The sequence below is a fragment of the Homo sapiens genome, chromosome 17 (assembly GCF_000001405.40).
Source record: "Homo sapiens chromosome 17, GRCh38.p14 Primary Assembly".
NCBI lineage: Eukaryota > Metazoa > Chordata > Mammalia > Primates > Hominidae > Homo > Homo sapiens.
In genome coordinates, this window is record NC_000017.11 from 46,266,083 (window position 1) to 46,287,448 (window position 21,366).

The 21,366-nt window shown below is 43.5% G+C and overlaps 2 protein-coding genes, 1 long non-coding RNA gene and 1 pseudogene across 4 annotated transcripts in view, besides 4 other annotated features; 3 read left to right on the forward strand and 1 right to left on the reverse strand.

Moving 5' to 3' along the window:
• Positions 1 to 21,366, forward strand: part of LRRC37A (leucine rich repeat containing 37A) — an 89,751-nt gene that overhangs the window by 18,039 nt on the left and 50,346 nt on the right. The window lies entirely within an intron of this gene.
• LOC100132570 (chromosome 17 open reading frame 58 pseudogene) lies at positions 888 to 3,728 on the forward strand (annotated as a pseudogene).
• On the forward strand, positions 7,934 to 18,874 carry LOC124904014 (uncharacterized). Its single transcript, XR_007065823.1, has 3 exons — positions 7,934 to 8,009; positions 11,227 to 11,313; positions 18,501 to 18,874. It is a non-coding gene; the product is annotated as an uncharacterized LOC124904014 (long non-coding RNA).
• The window catches only part of ARL17B (ARF like GTPase 17B), an 87,604-nt gene continuing 74,339 nt past the window's right edge, over positions 8,102 to 21,366 (reverse strand). Inside the window, exon 5 of one of the 2 annotated variants that reach the window (NM_001103154.2) lies at positions 8,102 to 9,336. The gene's annotated coding sequence lies outside the window, so the exon portion shown is untranslated. Of the gene's footprint in view, positions 9,337 to 19,193; positions 20,884 to 21,366 lie in introns of those variants that run through there. The other variant, NM_001352769.1, reaches the window with a different exon arrangement.
• Positions 17,626 to 18,501: an enhancer, noted in NCBI's record as "NANOG-H3K27ac hESC enhancer chr17:44361074-44361949 (GRCh37/hg19 assembly coordinates)". NCBI's record gives its function as "activates a minimal SCP1, AML or CMV promoter by ChIP-STARR-seq in primed H9 embryonic stem cells {active_cell/tissue: H9 hESC(primed)}" and the evidence as "EXISTENCE:reporter gene assay evidence [ECO:0000049][PMID:30033119]".
• Positions 17,626 to 19,376: a biological region, named in NCBI's record as "P300/CBP strongly-dependent group 1 enhancer GRCh37_chr17:44361168-44362367".
• Positions 17,720 to 18,919: an enhancer, noted in NCBI's record as "P300/CBP strongly-dependent group 1 enhancer chr17:44361168-44362367 (GRCh37/hg19 assembly coordinates)". NCBI's record gives its function as "activates an origin of replication core promoter dependent on BRD2, BRD4, P300/CBP, MED14 and CDK7 cofactors, with strong dependence on P300/CBP, by STARR-seq in HCT116 cells {active_cell/tissue: HCT116}" and the evidence as "EXISTENCE:reporter gene assay evidence [ECO:0000049][PMID:35650434]".
• Positions 18,502 to 19,376: an enhancer, noted in NCBI's record as "H3K27ac hESC enhancer chr17:44361950-44362824 (GRCh37/hg19 assembly coordinates)". NCBI's record gives its function as "activates a minimal SCP1, AML or CMV promoter by ChIP-STARR-seq in primed H9 embryonic stem cells {active_cell/tissue: H9 hESC(primed)}" and the evidence as "EXISTENCE:reporter gene assay evidence [ECO:0000049][PMID:30033119]".

Below are 21,366 nucleotides of genomic sequence, written 5' to 3' on the forward strand. Positions count from 1 at the left end.
GCAGTGACTTGGTGTCTCTAGAAATTGCCTAACATACACATTCCAGGATACATTCTCTGTCATCTGGAATCTCCTCCCTTCCACAAACCCACGCTGTCTTAAGCACTATTTTCCTATTTGTTGTTGACCTAATCTAGAAAAAAGCGGCCATCACTCTTTCTCCCCCACTCAGTCCCTCAGTCCCGAAACACCCTTATTCTCCGCACTTGTCACCCCACCCTCTGCTGCCCCCACCGCAGCGCGCAAACGCACACGAGTTTAAAGTTTAGGCTGTGATGCTATCCTCGCCCGCAGATCACAGGACAGACATTCTCGGGGACAACTTTGCGAGGCCATGTGCTCGTCCCCCTTAGGAAGGAAGAGGGAGAAATCCCTGCGGCTCGGTTTTGTTCCAATGGTCTGCTCAGCGAGTGATTCCCGTTTCCCCAAAGGCTGCCCCTCATTAGCATGAACGGGGACGCGGGTGTGGAGAAGGGGTTAGAGGAGAGAAAGCAAGCAAAAGCCCAGGCTCACTTTTAGAGCCTGGGAACCCTGTCTGCAAAAATGACAGCTAGAGCTTTCTGGCTCCTCTGTTTAATCGTCGGATCATCCCCCGAAGCTCCGGTGGAGAGAAAAAGTAAGATCGGTGTAGTGCGGAGCCCTGGGAGCGGAGCGGGGATCTGGGGAGGGGGCGCCCAGGCCTCAGCCGCCGGCCGACAACCGGGCCACCTTCCGTGAGGCCGCACACGCTCCCACAGGCCCGCGCCTGGCGCAAGCCGAGAACCGCGCGTCGCCGCGCCGCGGGCCCGCGACGGAGGAAGCCCCGAGACGCGCGCGCTCACGGGCCCTACGCTTCCCCGCCGCCCGGCCGCGCGCGCGCGCCGCCGAGGGCCCCGCCGGCCCTGCCCACCCCAACCGGCCGCGCGCCGTTGTGCCGGCCCCCGGCTCGCCGCCCGCGCCGCCGCCGCGCCTCAGCTTCAGATTCGGCCTCAGTCAGCCGCGCAGGGACGCGGAGCCCGGCGCCGAGCTCTGCGCTTGCGCTTGCCGGGCGGGCATGGACGGGCGAGAGGCGTTCTGCAAGCGCGAAATCGGTGAGCCCGGCCGCCGCGCCGCCGCCCCGCGAGCCTTTCCGAGTCCCGGAGAATCCTGCACGCGAGATCCCAGGGCGCCCGACCCATGCGGGCCGTTTCGCTGTTGCTAAAAACCAACGCCCAGGGACTGGGAGAGGAACTGGGGTTCCCAAACTGTTTTTTGGAAGCAGCGATGAACGGGATAGTGCATGACGTGGACGTGCTGGGCGCGGGCATCTGGCTGGTGACCCTGCTGGTGGATCGGGACGGGCTGTACAAGATGAACCGCCTGTACCTCACTCACCCCCGACGTCTTCTTCTTCCGAGTCCACATGTTAGTCCTGGACTCCTCCAGCTGCAATAAACCGTGTCCAGAGTTTAAACCTGGTATTGAAACTGAGCTGAATGACGCTGCATATGTACTTTATACCACCGTTTGTAACGTGGGTGCCACAGCCCGGGCTGTGGGTCGTCCAGTCTTTTTTTGGGACGGATGGGGGACAGTATTGTAACATGATTAGGATTTAGACGACAGGTATTATTTCCGCCACTGTGATTTAAGCACCGTCAGCCCCACCCCCACGGGTGAGAACGGCAGCTGTTGGCACAAAGCGGGCTGTCAATAAATAGATGTTGACAAATGGAGTGAGCGACCACCAAACACCATTGCCAGAAGGGACTGTACAGAACTGAGTTTAGAAAAGCTGCTTTTTTGGGGGAGTGTGTGGAGGGTTGGTAGCGGGGAATACCCACTCCCACATCTTTTTTTTTTTTTTTTTTTTTTTTTTAGACAGAGTCTCGCTCTGTTGCCCAGGCTGGAGTGCAATGGCGCCATCTCAGCTCACTGCAACCTCCGTCCCCCAGGTTCAAGCCATTCTCCTGCCCTCAGCCTCCCAAGTAGCTGGGATTACAGGCTGAGCCACTGCGCCCAGCCCCACTCCCACATCTTTCTAGGCATGTGCTCTGGGAAATCCTGATACAATGTGATAAGGACCTTTGTTCTGTAATGTGGGCTGGTTACGTATTGCTTTCCCTTCCCCACACCCCGTGCTACTTTTTGTATTTTTAGTACAGATGGGGTTTCACCATGTTGGCTAGGCTGGTCTCAAACTCCTGACCTCAAGTAATCTGCCCGCCTCGGCCTCCCAAAGTGCTAGGATTAAAGGCGTGAGCCACTGCACTGGCCTGGTTGGGTTGGTTATCTTCTAAAGGTCGCTAGACTGTTTCCACCTTGCCTGTAGACTAAATATCAGTTTCAACTTGTGCAGCAAGATAGTAGATTGCAGCTTAGGTATTTCTTAAAGGCCTTATATTTTCTGTTTCATGGCATTTAAAAGACGCTATGAATTAATGTTCTGGTTATTTTGTCCAGGCAGCAGGTATATTGTGATGGGCCACATCTACCATAAGAGAGGGCAGCTTCCTACAGCTCTGCTCCAGGTCCTGAGAGGCCATCTCTGTCCAGGGGATGGACTGCTGAGGAGCAGCAGCAGCTATGTGAAAAGGTTTAACCCAAAAAGGGAAGGGCAAATTCAAGGTGCAATTCATACCCAATGCATTTGAAACAACCATCCTGGCATTTCTGGATCACAAGAGACATCGGCAACAAGACATGAAAGGTCTATCTTCATGTAATGGGTCCTCCTTTAGAAGAGAGCCCAAAGCTACTCTATGAATGACCTGCATAGTTACAACTGTAATCTCGAAGGTGTCACTTTGTTATTTACAAGATGCTTCTTAAATGGGCTGCTCCTGAGCTCAGTGTCAAGGTGATTCAACTGTTGTGCCAGACAGTGATTTACACAGCTCAGATAACTGACCTGTCTAGTTAACAGATCACTGCTTCATGTTTTTAAATATTTTAATTTAATACATTCTTTAGTAGAAATAGTCCACAAAACATTTTCCTGAATTTAAATACACAACTTTTATATCATGTATCAAACCTGATTTTATATTCAAACCTGATTTATATTCAAAACTTATATGTGAAGATTAAATTCTTCACATAACAGTAAGCGCACTAGTCAAAAGACATTTACCTATGAAACGTCATTTAGATCAAACACAAGGGTCAAAGCCCAGGACAAGGATTAAAATTTTACACTTAAAAAGTACCAAGCCGGGCGCGGTGGCTCACACCTGTAATCCCAGCACTTTGAGAGGCCGAGGCGGGTGGATCACCTGAGGTCCGGAGTTCGAGACCAGGCTGACCAACATGGAAAAACCCTGTCTCTACTAAAAATACAAAAATTAGCCGGGTGTGGTGGCACATGCCTGTAATCCCAGCTGAGGGAGGCTGAGGCAGGAGAATCACTTGAACCCAGGAGGCAGAGGTTGTGGTGAGCCGAGATCGCGCCAGCCTGGGCAACAAGAGCAAAACTCCGTCTCAAAAACAAACAAAGTGTACAAAAGGGCCAGTGTGCGGATGGGTGGATTAAAAAAATAAATTTTAAAAAAGTGCCAAAGGGCTTACTTCAGGCAAAAGTGTTCCTGATGTACCAAAGAGTAAGATATAGTTTATTTTCATGCCTCCCTGCTCCTAATAATGTATGTTTTGTGCTGAACTGGCAGCTATCCCAATGTGAACTGTATTCTGAGTGTATCTGATATCATTTTTCTATTAAGACCAAGTATAATGTTTGCTTGTAAAGCAATAAATCTTGCTTTGAAATTAGACCTTGGATGCACCTGTTTATTTTTGTTTTGTTTTGTTTTAGCCTTTGAGCCCTAAAGGTTTGAGAAAAAGCCTTTCTCAAATTCATTCCCCAAACCTTGGAACCAATATTAACCAATGACAGCTCACAAGCAAGTGAATTCTAAACATTTTTCAGTTGGTTTTAAAAAGGTTTAATCACTAGCTAAATTAAATATTGATTTTATACCTGAGTCCACAAAGACATGAGAGTATTTTTTCAGAAGATAAGGCTGTACTTCAGTTTATAAGAAGTACGGTGAACAGAGACACCACTAATGCATAGATGAAGATGACTGCCTAAAGAGAGACAGGGGAAGGAATTTCACTGGAGAGAGAGCAGCCTATTTGGCCTCACGGTGATGCACTCAGGAAGGTCAGAATGTGTCCTGACGCTGTCCATGGCACCCAGTAGTAGCACTGTACACATAAAGGACATCCAGGACGGGACGCTAGGGAATCACAGGAGCCAAGAGGCAACAGCCTAACATTACAATACCTGATACTATTATTTGTTCCAATTATGGGGCAGACAGGTAATAAAGAGTTGAGAGGTTCTGAGTGTTCTATGGTAAAGCACTACTGAGAGATTTCTAGAGTATTTTCCAAAAATGAGTTTTGTCCAAATTTATTATAAATTTTACTAGAATTGCTTTTTGGGAGTCAGATGCATTATTGCATGATAGAATTATAGCTAATGAAGAGCTTCTGAGCTAGTTTTCTTTAAGATAAAAAAAATTAACTCAGGCATAACTCAGGCCAGTCAAATCAAAGTTGAATTTTTAAATGTCAAAAGGCTAGGCCGGGAGCTGTGACTCACACCTGTAATCCCAGCACTTTGGGAGACCAAGGCGGGTGGATCACAAGGTCAGGAGTTTGAGACCAGCCTGGCCAACATAGCGAAACTCTGTCTCTACTAAAAATACAAAAATTAGCTGGGCATGGTGGTGCATGCCTGTAATCCCAGCTATTGGGGGGCAGGAGGATCGCTTGAACCTAGTAGGCAGAGGTTGCAGTGAGCCGAGATCATGCCACTGCCCTCCAGCCTGGGCAACAGAGCGAGACTCTGTCTGAAACAACAACAAAAAGTATATCTATATGGCTAATTTCTTTAGTTGAATTTGGTTCAAATTGGATCAAGTGGTATAATCTTCTAAGAAAAGTCTTTTAGTATCTCACTCCAAGTATCTAGAAATACCTTAGAATGTTTCAAATTATTAAAAATACTTCTCGGTTGGCTCTTCCCTCCACCTCCTCAAGTACTTCATTATTTTATCCATGGAATATCCCCATTCTCACATTAAGGGCAAGAAATCTGAGACCTATGGTAATAGTTTCTTTTTTTTTTTTTTTTTTGAGAAGGAGTTTCGCTCTTGTTGCCTAGGCTGGAGTGTAATGGCATGATGTCAGCTCACCGCAACCTCTCCCTCCTGGGTTCAAGTGATTCTCCTGCTCTAGCCTCCCAAGTAGCTGGGATTACAGGCATGCGCCACTTTACCTAGCTAATTTTTTTTTTTTTTTTTTTTTGTATTTTTAGTAGAGATGGGGTTTCTCCATGTTTGTCAGGCTGGTTTCAAACTCCCAACCTCAGGTGATCCACCTGCCTTGGCCTCCCAAAGTGCTGGGATTATACGTGTGAGCCACCACGCCCAGCCGTATCATGATAGTTTCAATCAGGAAGAGTGAAAGCTGTAATAACCATGTAACTTTGTCTAACTAAGTGTGCAGAGATCTGAAAGTCCACCAGGTTGGCTCTTTAACATAAAGAAGTAGAGAGTTTGCCTAAAGGAATTAGCAGAAATAGGGAAATAACTTTTATTTGCAGATCCCAGGAAGGTAGATTACAAACAACAGCAAATCTTAGTGTCTCTAAATAACACTCTAGGCCATTTGGAATATAAAAAGGTAATTATTTTACTTCAGAAAATATCTCCAAAAGTTCACTTTTTTTTTGAGACAGAGTCTTGCTGTGTCGCTCAGGCTGGAGTGCAGTGGCACAATCTCAGCTCACTACAACCTCTGCCTCCCCAGTTCAAGCCATCCTCCCACCTCAGCCTCCTGAGTAGCTGGGACTACAGGTGTGTGCCACTTGTCCAGCTAAATTGTTGTATTTTTAGTAGAAACAGGGTTTCACCATGTTGGTCAGGCAGGTCTCTAACTCCTGACCTTGTGATCTGCCCGCTTCAGCCTCCCAGAGTGCTGGGATTATAGGCGTGAGCCACCATGCCCAGCCACAATTTTATTTAAACCTCCTGTAGAATTTGGATAGGAGAATAAAAGCTTTACCAATAGGAAAATACTTTTCATGAAATGGTTTCAAGGATTGTGAACTTGGCAGGTGAAGCATAACAGTTATTGAAAATACTTTTAGCCAAGGAAATCTACTGATGCAAATTAAATATATTTACAAGCCCAAGGCCTGTGGTAGAAACATCCTAAGAGTATCACAAATGTACAGTTTACTGCCTGGATTATTGAAAGCAAAATAGCTGTGTTATATAGATCTTAATAGCAGAAGCTTTCAAAGATTACTCACAGAAAAGCAGCTTTCAGAACTCATTATGTTCTAAAAAATGTATGTTTTTCTTTCTTTTTTATTTTTTTTGAGATGAAGTCTCACTCTTGTCCCCCAGGCTGGAGTGCAATGGCGTGATCACGGCTCACTGCAACCTCCGCCTCCCAGGTTCAAGTGATTCTCCTGCCTCAGCCTCCCTAGTAGCTGGGATTTCAGGTGCCTGCCACCATGCCTGGCTAATTTTTGTACTTTTAGTAGAGATGGGGTTTCACCATGTTGGCCAGGTTGGTCTCAAATTCCTGACCTCAGGTGATCCCCCCTGCCTCGGCCTCCCAAAGTGCTGGGGTTACAGGCGTGGGCCACCACACCTGGCCAGGAATGTGTGTTTTTCAAAAATTACTTTTGAAAGACTAAAGCCCTATAGTTGATAAAACTATAAAATGTCTTTATGTATTTGTATGGTGATAGAAACTGTAAAACACTTTATACCATTAAATACACATGAAATTAATATCTTCCTGGTCTCAGGATTTCCATAAAATTTACCCTTTTTAATTTGGCAATGCTAACAGCTACAGAAGACATATTACCACCAACCAACCGTTGCTTCATTAGAAACTGCACCAAATCCAATGTCAAAAACATTACTTTATTTTTCTAGTATGAAATGTCCTATTACATACAAAAGAATTGCTGTTTAGAATTTGCCACAATTTGTTGAAAACATAGCAATCTATTGCCTACAGGTAGGAAAGTTCTTGCTGCAACAAATTTTAAATGATTAAGCCCATATATATTTCTATATATATGAATAAATAGTGCAGAAATACTGTGACGTGATGAGATGCAGAATAATTTTATAATTCATTAAAATGTAGAATTCTTGCATCAGCACAGTGCATACAATATGTAACTTTTTTTAAAAAGTAAAAGGACAAAATAATCCATATTTAAGTATTTCCATCTTAATATTTTAAGCAAAAATGTTTTCATGTTTTCATATTGAGTGATTAGTCTCTTTAGTTTGTAAACATAGGTTTAAGTGACATCTTCATGTACAAAAAGGAATGGGCTTCATTAGATAAAATTAAGCCAGAATAACCTGTACACCTGAGCCTGTAATAAGAAAGAATTGGGAACTGTAGCAACATCTTTCTTTTAAGAAACCAAGGTCTGGGAAAGGTTTTGCATAGCAGGGAAACGTTGAAAGGAAGGAAACTTTTAAAAGCAATAATTAGATAAATTCCAGAAGTTGATAGGACAAAGCTAATATGAGTTAGAATAAAATCTAGTAGAATTTTTGCAAAGCTGCATAATCCAGCTATGGCAGATTTTATAGAAGCTATTACCACAATGCAGTAATACAATGTGTAAGAACATTGAAAGGAAGAACATGCAAAATACATCTTCCTCATTTTCTTCCTACTGCTTACACTACTTTTCCTTACATGGAAGAAACAAACAAACCAACAAGCAAAAAACAAACCCAATCAACAAATAACACAGAGGATGAGATCATCTAACAAAAAATGTCCTTCATACAATATAAGTAGCTGTCTGTAATTGGTAATTTGCCCAGTATCACAGAATGTACAGATGAAGGCAATGTGTATCTTGTCGCATTACCTTTTTCGTTAGTATGATCAACTGATGCGACAGGATTAGCACCCCTGAAGATTCTTCTCTGACGTGATGACAATTGACTGGGAATGATAAAACGAGGGGCCACTGCTGTCCAGGAGAATTCCAGGTACAATTAGATTCTTTTGCCTTTCATGACCTTGCAGCCCTCCCTCCCCACAGAGGCTTACAGATAATCATTAGCACACATTCAAAGACACCTCTGTCTGTGGGAGAAAAACTATCTCCATTTATTTTGTTTCACATACATCCATAGTTGAATTTTAATACAAAAAGAAAAATTAGAATCTGACAAATGTTTACAAAGAAGATACCTTCAAATAGATTTTACTCATTTCAACCTGGTGTGGAGTAATTGACAAATTGTACTGTTATATTCAAGTCACCAGAGTCTGTAGTCCAGGACCACTTAGCCCAACCTTTATGCAAGCTTGATTTTAATCTACCATGAACAATAAACTCATTGTTGATTCGCAGTTGTGTGTGTGTGCACATGTGTACATAGCAGCTCCTTTCATAGAAAGAAAAGACATCTAGAGGTTGTCTTGTACTTTTACGTACAGGAATCATTGATAAGATATGGATGGATTATATGTAACCGTGGCTGGATTTTATAAGAAAAAATAATTAGTTGACAAATGAGGGCAGCAATAAAAAAGCATCTTTTTTGCAACAATAAATAAATACAGTCAAAAGTTTTCTTTGAGACTCTAAACCAGCTTCTTCACTGAAGAGCAGACGTGGCATTTCCATGGAGTTATACTTGACCCCACAGTATCATTGTTTCTTGCTTTCTTTTTCTTTTTTTTTTTTAATAAACAAAATTTTCTCGCTTCTGCCACAATAATAAAACCATTTGATCTTGACAAGATAATGGTGTCGTTGACTTTTCTTTTTTCTTTTTCTTTTCTTCCTTTTTTTGTTTTTGAAACGGAGTTTTGTTCTTGTCACCCAGGCTGGAGTGCAATGGCTCAATCTCGGCTCAATACAACCTCTGCCTCCCGGGTTCCAGCGATTCTCCTGCCTCAGCCTCCCAAGTAGCTGGGATTACAGGCATAGGCCACCATGCACAGCTAATTTTGTATTTTTGGTAGAGACGGGGTTTCTCCATATTGGTCAGGCTGGTCTCGAACTCCCGACCTCAGATGATCCGCCCGCCTTGGCCTCCCAAAGTGCTGGGATTACAGGCGTGAGCCACCGCACCTGGCAACTTTGCTTTTTTCTTGTCCATTGGACAAAATTGGCCAATAATATAATTGGACTGTTATGACCAATAAAAACAAAGTTTAGGTCAAGTCTTGTCAGGATAGCCTCACTAAAAAGATCTGGCTCCTTAATTTAAAATAGTTCAGGCAACAAGATTCTTGCTGTGTTTTATGTTAGGTTAACATGCTGAACTTTAGGAAGCTGTAGACTGCAGTTTGTTGTTGTGAGACCTACAGAGTATAGAAAAAGGGAACAATTGAGCACCTTTCATTTTTGAAAATGATGCTTTATGCGGATGCCAAAGTAAATAAATCTGGAAGAAGCAGCCATGTTCTTTCATTCACCCTTGGCAAGCGAATAGAAAAGAACGATTAAGAAATTTTTAACCTATAATAATAAAACTTTTCACTGTACACTAAGCATAATAGCTCACTGGAAAAAGCCAATATTTAAAATATGTATGTATATATATTTGTCTAATAAAGATTACAACATTTTCAGGCAACTGGACAAATAGAGACATTTACAGAAGCATTACCATTGTGGTGAAAGGTGCGTGTGTGTGTGTATGTGTGTGTTTATTTACACGGATGAGGGGAATATAAAGGGAAAAATTATGCTAAAACAAAAGAAAAAGCAATTTTAAAATCATATTTTTCTATTAAAGTCCAGAAAGTCTCCCAGTTTCACACAGTTTTATTCACAATTTTTTTTTTTTTTGAGACGAAGTCTCGCTTTTGTCCCCAGGCTGTAGTGCAAAGGCGCGATCTTGGCTCACTGCAACCTCTGCCTCCCAGATTCAAGCGATTCTCCTGCCTCAGCCTCCCGAGTAGCTGGGATTACAGGTGCCTGCCACCACACCCGGCTAATTTTTGTACTTTTTGTAGAGACGAGGTTTCACCATGTTGGCCAGGCTGGTCGCAAACTCCTGACCTCAGGTGATCCGCCCGCCTCGGCCTCCCAAAGTGCTGGGATTACAAGTGTGAGCCACCAAGGCTGGCCTCACAACTTTTGTCAGTAAACCAAATTACTGTACAGTTACCAGGACTAAGTCAAAGGACTTTATATTGCAATAGCAGATAAATTTATATTGCAATAGCAGATAAATACAGTATTCCAATAGTTTACAATTTTTAAATACATTGTTTCACGTGGCTGCTAGAATAAATTTTTTACCACTATACATCGTTAACATTAAAAAATTATATTAGCTAACCTGACTTTTTGGGGGGCAATTTTGGATTACGTAATCACAAGGTACAATAAAACAGTGACCCCAACATCCAGTTCTGATTCCAGTTAAAAATTTAGACTAAAGATATCACAATCCGTAAGAAAAGAAAGAATATGGATGGTATAAATGATGAATTATAACAAAGTGCAGTAATGAAAACAATGTGCAAACAATGCTGGAGATCATAAATTACAATGGGAAAATATGGCAAAGGAAATTCTGGAAACCCATAATAAAATCAAGTTTCAATAACTGGCTAGTTATGTTTCATTCTACCTTAAATCTGGAAAGCAATAGAAATTCCCTAAAAATGCAACAGCAAGTTGTCTTTATACAATTCTTTGCATTGTAATTTTTTTCTTTTTTTCTTTTTTTTTTTTTTTTTGATTTGTTTGTTTTGAGACAGGGTCTCACTCTGTAGCCCAGTCTGGAGTGCAGTGGCACAATCATGGCTCACTGCAGCCTCAACCTCCAGGGCTCAGGTGATCCTCCTACCTCAGCCTCCTGGGTAGCTGGGACTACAGGCACGTGCCACCATGCTCAGCTAATTTTTTGTATTTTTTGTAGAGATGGGGTTTCCCCATGTTGCCCAGGCTGGTCTCAAACTCCTGGGCTCAAGTGAGCTGCCTGCCTTGGCTTCTCAAAGTGTTGAGATCACAGGTGTGAGCCACTGCACACAGCCTAATTTGTTTATTTAAGCAGAATTGAGCAAACGTCTCCATTCAGCTCCCATGTGCTTTATTGAAAATTATGTCAACTTCAGTATATTAAAAAGCTACATAAAATAACCAGGTGGCAAGAAGACATCCTAAGTGGCCCCTACACTATGCGGGCCCAGCCTAGGTCTCCTTTGCTCCTTTACCAAATTCCCTTTGTCTTGCCACAGGCCCCAGGACCTCCAAGCAACTTCCTCTCCTTCATCAGCAGTTGCCAGCAGTCATCCTCTGGGCTCTGCCAGCAAGTTGGCAGCAGGGTAGGATTCACACCCCTTGGCTTCTACCTCACAGTTACCACCAAAGGCCTTTCCAATTTAAAAAAGCAATTTTAGAAATTGAACCAGAGGAATAACCACCATGTACAAATCAAAAAGCATAGAGGGGCTTATAATGAGAAGTTGTGCTCCTCTGTCCTACCTTAACTCCCTCTGAAATCCAGGCTCCCTATGATCAATCCCCTTGACCTTTCAGTTCTCTGGGTAGATTTCTTTTCTTTTCTTTTCTTTCTTTCTTTCTTTTTTTTTTTTTGAGACAGAGTCTTGCTGTTGCCCAGGTTGGAGTGCAGTGGTGGGATCTCAGCTCACTGCAACCTCCTCCTCCTGGGTTCAAATGATTTTCCTGCCTCAGCCTCCCGAGTAGCTGGGATTACAGGTGCCCACCCTTACGCCTAGCTAATTTTTGTATTTTTAGTAGAGACAAGGTTTTACCATATTGGCCAGGCTGGTCTGGAACTCCTGACCTAACCGCCCACCTCAGCCTCCCAAAAGTGCTAGGATTACGGACATGAGCCACCATGCCTGGTCTGGGTAGATTTTTTTTCTTTTGAGATGGAGTCTCGTTCTTGTCGCCCAGGCTGAAGTGTAGTGGTGTGGTCTCCACTCACTGCAACCTCCGCCTCCCACGTTCAAGTGATTCTTCTGCCTCAGCCTCCAGAGTAGCTGGGACTTACAGGCGTGCACCACCATGCCTGGCTAATTTTTGTATTATTAGTGGAGATGGGGTTTCACCATGTTGGCCAGCTGGTCTCGAACTCCTGACCTCAGATGATCCACCCGCCTTGGCCTTCCCAAGTGCTGGGATTACAGGCATAAGCCACCATGCCCAGCCTGGGTAGCTTTCTTATACTGCTCTTTCTTGTTTTATCAACTTTCATTTAAGCCCTGTGATGGCAAATGAGAGCCAAGCTCACTTAACCATTTTCCCACCTCCATTTTTGAGTCCTAGTCTTTTTTGTTTTGTTTTGTTCTGTTTTGTTTTATTTTGTTTTTTTTTTGTTGTTGTTTTAAGATGGAGTCTTGCTCTGTCACCCAGGCTAGAGTGCAGTGGTGTGATCTCAGCTCACTGCAACCTCCACCTCCTGGGTTCAAGCGATTTTCCACCTCAGCCTCCTGAGTAGCTGGGATTACAGGCGCTCACCACTGCGACCGGCTAATTTTTGTATTTTTAGTAGAGATGAGGTTTCACCATCTTGGCCAGGCTGGTCTCAAACTCCTGACCTCGTGATACACCCGCCTCGGCCTCCCAAAGTGCTGAGATTACAGGTGTGGGCCACCGCACCTGGCTGAGTCCAAGTTTTATTTCCCTATAATTTAAAAATTATATCATTCCATGCTTTGTCTGTAGGCTGATTCTAAAAGTTGAAAACCAATGTCATTATTTTTATTTTTATTTTTTTTGACACGGAATTTTGCTCTTGTGGCCCAGGCTGGAGTGCAATGGCATGGTTTTGGCTCACTGCAACCTCTGCCTCCTGGGTTCAAGTGATTCTCCTGCCTCAGCCTCCTGAGTAGCTGGGATTACAGGTGCCTGCCACCACGCCTAGCTAATTTTTGTATTTTTAGTACAGATGGGCTTTCACCATGTTGGTCAGGCTGGTCTCGAACTCCTGATCTCAGGTGATCCACATGCCTTGGCCTCCCAAAGTGTTGGGATTATAGGCATAAGCCACTGTTCCTGGCCCAATGTCATTATTTACATTATTACGACAATGTAAATATTTTTCTCTATACCACCTAGTCCTTTGCTAATAAGGCATTCTTTTTTTTCTTTTTTTTTTTTTTTTTGAGACAGAGTCTCGCTCTGTCGCCTAGGCTGGAGTGCAGTGGCACAATCTTGGCTCACTGCAACCTCCACGTCTCAGGTTTGAGCAATTCACTTGCCTCAGCCTCCCAAGTAGCGAGGATTACAGGTGCCTACCACAATGCCTGGCTAATTTTTGTATTTTTAATAGAGACGAGGTTTTGCCATGTTGTCCAGGCTGGTCTTGAACTCCCGACCTCAGGTGATCCATCCACCTTGGCCCTCCAAAGTGCTGGGATTACAGGCATGAGCCACCGCACCTGGCCTTTTTTTTCTTTCTTTCTTTTTTTTTTTTTTTTTTTGAGATAGGGTCTTGTTGTGTCGTCCAGGCTGGAGTGTAGTTGCATGAACATGGCTCACTGCAGTATCTGTCTCCTGGGCTTAATCCTCCCACCTCAGCCTCTGGAGTAGCTGGGATCATGGGTGCACATCACCATGCCTGGCTAATTTTTGTATTTTGTAAAGATGGGGTTTCCTCATGTTGCCCGGGCTGGTCTAGAATTCCTGGGCTCAAGCATCCTCCTGCCTCAGCCTCTCAATGTGTTGGGATTACAGGCATGAACCACCATTCCCAGCCAACAGGCCCTCCTACACAACTTTTTGTTTTTAGTGGCGTTTCTAATTGCCTTTCATTTTTATCCCTGACATTCTTTGGCTTAATCATAGCCTTATGTTTTTCTGTCTTAAACAAATTATCTAATGCATGAGTCATTGTCTTGCCCTACTGACCCTCTGGGGAGTGCTCCATTCTCCTGCTAGGATTTGGATTGCTTACCGCACAGCCTGCTGTACAAATGTCACCTTGAGTCAGAGTAATTCTCATTGCTTTCCCTGAACCTCTTGTTTTCTGAACCCAAATAAATAAAAATGTCTGGCCAGGCGCGGTGGCTCACATCTGTAATCCCAGCACTTTGGGAGGCCAGGGCAGGTGGATCACTTGCCTTGAGACCAGCTTGGCCAACATGGCAAAACCCCATCCCTACTAAAAACACAAAAATTAGCCAGGTGTGGTGGCAGGCGCCTGTAATCCCAGCTACTTGGGAGGCTGAGGCAGGAGAATCGCTTGAACGCGGGAAGCGGAGGTTGCAGTGAGGTGAGATTGCACCACTGCACTCCAGCCTGGGCAACAGAGTGAGACTCTGTCTCAAAAACACAAAACAACAGAAAAATTTCTAGCCCAGTGCAGTGGCTCACGGCTGTAATCCCAGCACTCTGGGAGGCCAAGGTTGGCGGGAGGATCGCTTGAGCTCAGTTCAAGACTAGCTTGGGTCATATAGCAAGACCCTGTCCCTAATTAAAAATATATATTATTAAAAAGAAAAAAATTTGTTTCCTTATTTTTGATAGCACACTTTTTTTTTTTTTTTTTTTTCCTGAGCAGAGTCTCACTCTGACACCCAGGCTGGAGTGCAGTGGTGTGATCTTGGCTCATTGCAGCCTCTGCCTCCCTGTTTCAAGTGATTCTCATGCCTCAGCCTCCTGTGTGGCTGGGACTACAGGCATGCGCCACTATGCCCGCCTAAGTATTGTATTTTTAGTAGGGACGAGGTTTTGCCATGTTGGCCAGGATGGTCTCGAAATGCTGACCTCAAATGTTCCATCCGTCTTTGCCTTCCAAAGTGCTAGGATTACAGGCATAAGCCATTTCGTGTCTGGCCAATAGCACACGCTTTTAAAAAATACCTGCCAAGAAAGGGTACCCTGAGTCCTTACATGACTGAAAATGTATTTATTCTGACTTTACTTGACTGTTTGGCTGCACATAGACTTCTAGGTTGAAAATCATTTTTTCTTAAACTTTTAGATTTATTCTTCCATAATCTTCTAGCACTAAATGTTGTAGCGGAAAAATCTGACACCAATCTAATTCTTGTTTTATAGATTGTCTGTTTTATCTAAAAGTTTCTTTTATTCTTAATGTTTGGAAATTTTATAGTGATGTATGTAGGAGTGAGTCTTTTTCCATTTGTCCACCTGGCTTATAATGTTTATCAACTGACCCCTTGCTCCCCCCACCCCTCATAGAGTGCAGGGGCTTTAATTTATTCACTGCTAAATTCCCTGTATCTGGCACACATCAGGTTCTCAATAGTCATTTGCTGAGTGAATGAATTTATTCTGCTAGAATTTAAAGTCCCGTGACTCGCATCAGCTCAGAAAATTTTTCTTTTATTCTTGTCTTTTTTTTTTGAGACAGGGTCTCAATCTGTGATTCAGGCTGGAGAGCGGTGGTGTAATCACAGCTCACTGCAGCCTTGAACTCCTGGGCACAAGTGATCACAGCTCACTGCAGCCTTGAACTCCTGGGCACAAGTGATCTTCCTGTCATAGCCTCCTGAGTAGCTAGGACTACAGGTGCACGCCACTATGCCTGGTTAATTTTTAAAATTTTTGTAGAGACATGGTCTTGTTATGTTGGTAAGGTTGGGAATTTTTTCTTCTTCTTTTGTGAGAGTCTCACTGTCACCCAGGCTGGAGTGCAGTGGTGTGATCTTGGCACACTGCAACCTCTGCCTCCTGAGTTCAAGCAATTCTCGTGCCTCAGCCACCTGAGTAGCTGGGATTACAGGTGTGCATCACCACACCTGGCTAATTTTTGTATTTTTAGTAGAGATGGGGTTTTGCCATGTTGGCCAGGCTGGTCTCAAACTCCTGACCTCAGGTGATCCACCCGCCTCGGCCTCCCAAAGTGCTGGGATTACAGGCATGAGCCATCACGCCTAGCCTAGTTTTACAGATTTTGTAGTTTCTTGTTTTTGGTCTATAACCTGCTGCCTACTTTTCTTGCTTCCTTGCCTATATATATATTCATTTATTTTTTAATTCCTTTGCTGAGAATAAAAATTGGATACTTTAGCTGGGCTTGTCCTTCAGTTTTTTTGTTTTTGTTTTTGTTTTTTTTTGAGACGGAGTCTCGCTCTGTCTCCCAGGCTGGAGTGCAGTGGCGCAATCTCGGCTCACTGCAAGCTCTGTCTCCCGGGTTCATGCCATTCTCCTGCCTCAGCCTCCCGAGTAGCTGGGACTACAGGCGTCTGCCACCACGCCCGCCTAATTTTTTGTTATTTTTAGTAGAGACGGGGTTTCACCGTGTTAGCCAGGATGGTCTCGATCTCCTGACTTCGTGATCCGCCCCACTCGGCCTCCCAAAGTGCTGGGATTACAGGCGTGATCCACCGCACCTGGCCTCAGTTTTTTGTTTGTTTTTTTTTTTTAAACAGGCAAGTTCTTGCTGTGTCACCCAGGCTGGGGTGGAGTGGCTCGATCATAGTTCACTGCAGCCTCAAACTCCTGTACTCAAGTGATTCTCCTGCCTCAGCCTCCCAAGTAGCTGGGACTATAGGCACTCATCACCAAGCCTGGTTAATTTTTTTTTTTTTTTTTGGTAGTAGAGACAAGGTCTCATACTGTGGCCCAGGCTGGTCTTGAACTCCTGGCTTCAAGCTATTCTCCCCACTCGGCTTCCCAAAGTACTGGGATTACAGGCATAAGTCACCTTGCCTGGCCTTTCACTTTTATTTTAGGTAAACTGCTTTTAAAATACCCTCTTAGAAACCATCTTCCTTGCTACAGAAGAGAGAAAGCACCCCGTGGCTTTTCCTCAAAGGAAGATCACTGTGGGGGCTGGGCGCGGTGGCTCATGCCTGTTATCCCAGCATTTTGGGAGGCCGAAGCGAGCGGATCACCTGAGGTCAGGAGTTTGAGACCATCCTGGCCAACACAGTGAAACCTCATCTCTACTAAAACTACCAAAATTAGTCGGGTGTGATGGCACGTGCCTGTAGTCCCAACTACGCGGGAGGCTGAGGCAGGAGAATCGCTTGAACCTGGGAGGCAGAGGTTGTATTGAGGTGAGATCACACCACTGCACTCCAGCCTGGCAACAGGGTGAGACTCCATCTCAAAAAAATAAAATAAAATAACCGAGTATGCACAATTCAACTGTAATAGATACTATCAATTTACCCTCCAAAGTGACCATACCAATTTATACCCCCACCAGCCTTGCTAAAAGTATTCTAAGATATTAATTTTATGGTTAATAAAATATACACTGAGACTTCTGAAAAAACTTCAAATTCAACTCATGTGTACCCACAGGTTCCTTAATAACACCATAATAATCTGGTGCATCATTAGGGTCTACTGGTTCAAGGAAAGGCTGGGCCATCTTATGGGCCTATAATGAAAAAGTAGGCATTCTTATTGTCAGTGAAAACACTAATTCCATTTAAGATTCCCAGTTGAGTCACTACATCAATGAACCCAAAAGTCAGTTTTAAATGCGATACATGAAATACTTTATATTAGGTGATTTCTGCTCTAGTAATAAGTTACCTAAGATGAGCTTCCTCTGCAATAATGGTACTCAAAGCTTGGTCGGAAGACCTTGGTGTGGTGAAGGGGTGGGTTGCCCCTCCACACCTGTGGGTGTTTCTCGTTAAGTGGAACGAGAGACTTGGAAAAGAAAAAGACACAGAGACAAAGTACAGACAAAGAAATAAGGGGGCCCAGGGTACCTGCGTTCAGCATATGGAGGATGCTGCCGGCCTCTGAGTTCCCTTCATATTTATTGATCATTCTTGGGTGTTTCTCGGAGAGGGGGATGTGTCAGGGTCATAGGATAATAGTGGAGAGAAGGTCAGCAGATAAACACATGAACAAAGGTCTCTGCATCATAGACAAGGTAAAGAATTAAGTGCTGTGCTTTAGATACACATACACATAAACATCTCAATGCCTTACAAAGCAGTATGGCTGCCCGCGTGTCCCACCTCCAGCCCTAAGGCGGTTTTTCCCTATCTCAGTAGATGGAACATACAATCGGGTTTTATACCGAGACATTCCATTGCCCAGGGACGGGCAGGAGACAGATGCCTTCCTCTTGTCTCAACTGCAAAGAGGCATTCCTTCCTCTTATACTAATCCTCCTCAGCACAGACCCTTTAAGGGTGTCAGGCTGGGGGACGGTCAGGTCTTTCCCTTCCCACGAGGCCATATTTCAGACTATCACATGGGGAGAAACCTTGGACAATACCTGGCTTTCCTAGGCAGAGGTCCCTGCGGCCTTCCGCAGTGTTTGTGTCCCTGGGCACTTGACATTAGGGAGTGGTGATGACTCTTAAGGAGCATGCTGCCTTCAAGCATCTGTTTAACAAAGCACATCTTGCACAGCCCTTAATTCATTTAACCCTGAGTTGACACAGCACATGTCTCAGAGAGCACGGGGTTGGGGGTAAGGTTATAAATTAACAGCATCTCAAGGCAGAAGAACTTTTCTTAGTACAGAACAAAATGGAGTCTCCTATGTCTACTTCTTTCTACACAGACACAGCAACAATCTGATCTCTCTTTCTTTTCCCCACAGTGTGGGGGGTGGAACACAAGCTTAGAAGTCACAAAATCAGTATTCTGGGCCCTACATGATGAGCTGTCACTGAGTGATGCTGGCATTGCAACTGCTTCTGTAACAGGTGGGATGGGTTCAAAGTGTGGAATCATTACCACAGCTGATTAATGATGAGGTGGCAGAGATGTGATGTTAGATAACATTCAACCACACATTGAGACTACGATTCCCTTTTTAGTTTCTTCAATTCTTGTGATTATGATAAAAATAGAAGAAAGTTTCAATCCAATGCACTATATCCTTTTATTTCCCCCCATTGTTTTGAGACAGGGTCTCGCTCTGTCATCCAGGCTGGAGTGGAGTGGCACGATCATAGCTCACTGTAGCCTCCTGTGCTCAAGTGATCCTCTCACCTCAGCCTCCCAAGTAGCTGGATAAACAAGTGTGTGCCAACATGCCCAGCTAATTTTTTATTTTTATTTTTTGTAGAGATGGGGTCTCACTTTGTTGCCCAGATTGGTCTCTAACTAATTGACTCAAGTGATCCTCCTGCCTTGGCCTCCCAAAGTGCTGGGATTATAGGTGTGAGCAACCACACTGGCCTTCTGTGTCTTCAATACACCTGTATCACTTGCTAATCCTGCAAACCATACCTATCCTGGTTTTCTTTTCTTTCCTTTTTTTTTTTTTTTTTGAGACAGAGTCTCACACTGTCACCCGAGCTGGAGTGCCATGGCTCGATCTTGGCTCACTGCAACCTCTGCTTCCTGTGTTCAAGCGATTCTCCTGCCTCAGCCTCCCTAGTAGCTGGGATTACAGGCTCACGCCACCACACCCGACTAGTTTTTTGTATTTTTAGTAGAGACGGGGTTTCACCATGTTGGCCAGTCTGGTCTCAAACTCCTGACCTCATGATTTGCCCACCTCAGCCCCCACAAAGTGCTGGGATTACAGGTGTGAGCCCCCGTACCCAGCCACCTTTCTGTCTTTCATAAGGAAAATAATAACTATAATCTAATCATACTGTTTCTCAATCCATGGGAGTGAGAGGAAGTTTCTTTAAAAATAAAATGTATAAAGAAGTGAGTCACGTTAGATTATCTGAGTGTTAGATAAGCTGAGGTGGTGTGGGGATATGGTAAAGCTCATGACACTGGTATGTGAAGGACTGAAGTTTGTCAAGCCCTTCACTAGACTAGCTGAGAGTCAGTAAATAATCACTCTAAGATTGGAAACTTGAAATCCTAACATTGGAAACTTGAAATCCTAGAAATGCTTCCAAAATTATGCCAGCTGATTTCATTTTCAAATGCTGCACACAGAGGGGCTCTCATCTGTAAGGAACGGAGCACCCTCTTCAACTCCTCATCATCCTTCTCTGTTAGTGGTGTGAGCACTGTCATGACATCCTCTGTTGACTGGCACTGTGGACAGACATACTCATCAATGAGCTCTGCCTCACTCTGCAAGATGCCAATGCAGCACCCATGGTACCAATTCTGACACCGATCATGGCCAATAAAAAATCTGCAAGATCCGAAATGGAAATGTGAGTTCAAAACAGATGGGATGATGTTACTTATAATAAAGCATGCACCTGAAAATTTGCTAAACCCTGGGATATAAAATAGTTTTAGTATTGTGGTTTTAATACTTTCAAGATCGACATTCCAGTACATTAATTTAGTATTTTTGATGTTAAGAACAAGCAGTAAAAAAATTTATAAGAACACTGTAATTTTGGAGAACCAATTTAAAGATAAATATGAAACATTCAATTGATTTTAAAGCTGAAAACAAGTCACAAATCTTTCAACTAGTACTGTACCATGTGGGAGTTCAAAATCCTATAAGGTAATAACAGAGTCTCAAAGCTTATACCCAAATTAGTGTTTTTCTAACCTATAATAAAGCACCATTTCAAACACTGATAAAGTCCAAACAAGTCAAGCTAGTTTAATCTCATTAATTTCTATGTTACATATTGAAGAATCAAATCTACCATTAAACCACATTTTCCCCAATGTGTCTCAAACATTCACTATGAAGCAAGATAAATTTTGAAGGGTAGGTAAAAAGGGAAAAAGAGAAAAAAAAATGAAAAGGAATTTGTAATGTAAGTGTATAACAAATGTAGAAAAAATCTGCTTTTTATTTTAAAGTAAATAAGTAACCAGTCAGAGCAATTTGGCTTCCTAAATTATTAAATGTGATGCTCTTATTAGAACTCACTGTGACTGCAGGTGTTCTGCAGATACAGTACAATTCCTCACTGCTGCCCTCTTGTGCCCATTTACAATCATTACAGATGTACACATCCATTTTCTTAGCCTCCTTTTCTGCGATGCCAACACATTCTCCATAATAGCAGTTAGTACAAAGATCACAGCCAATATAGAACCTAGAAGTATTCACAACGAAAATGACAATGTAATTGTCGTTTTGAGCTGCATGGTACTTAAATCTGTCTTCCCTGCCTTGCTTCATTTTTTTACAGGATAACTTCCTGCTATGAGTCAGCTAAACATTCCTGAATCCAACCATTCTACCCCTGGCAAACTCCAGTATCTGATGCTCTATCACATGTGCAAACAAAGTCACTCACATGGGTTTCAACAAGTACACTGCTTAGTGAAATATGGGTCTTTAAAAACATACTGGAATTTGAAAAAATAAACCACACACTGATGGTAATGTCTTCCTCTGAATGAATGTGTGCAAAACTGTAACAGGCACAAAAACCAAAGCCAAAGAATCAAAGACTTACACCTGTCAAACCTATTCCACAGAAGCCATTTCAATATCAGGGCTATTTCTTAGATAGGTTTAAAAATGTATCTCACAATTTAAATTTGAAAACAAAGCAAAGCGCAAACACCAAGTA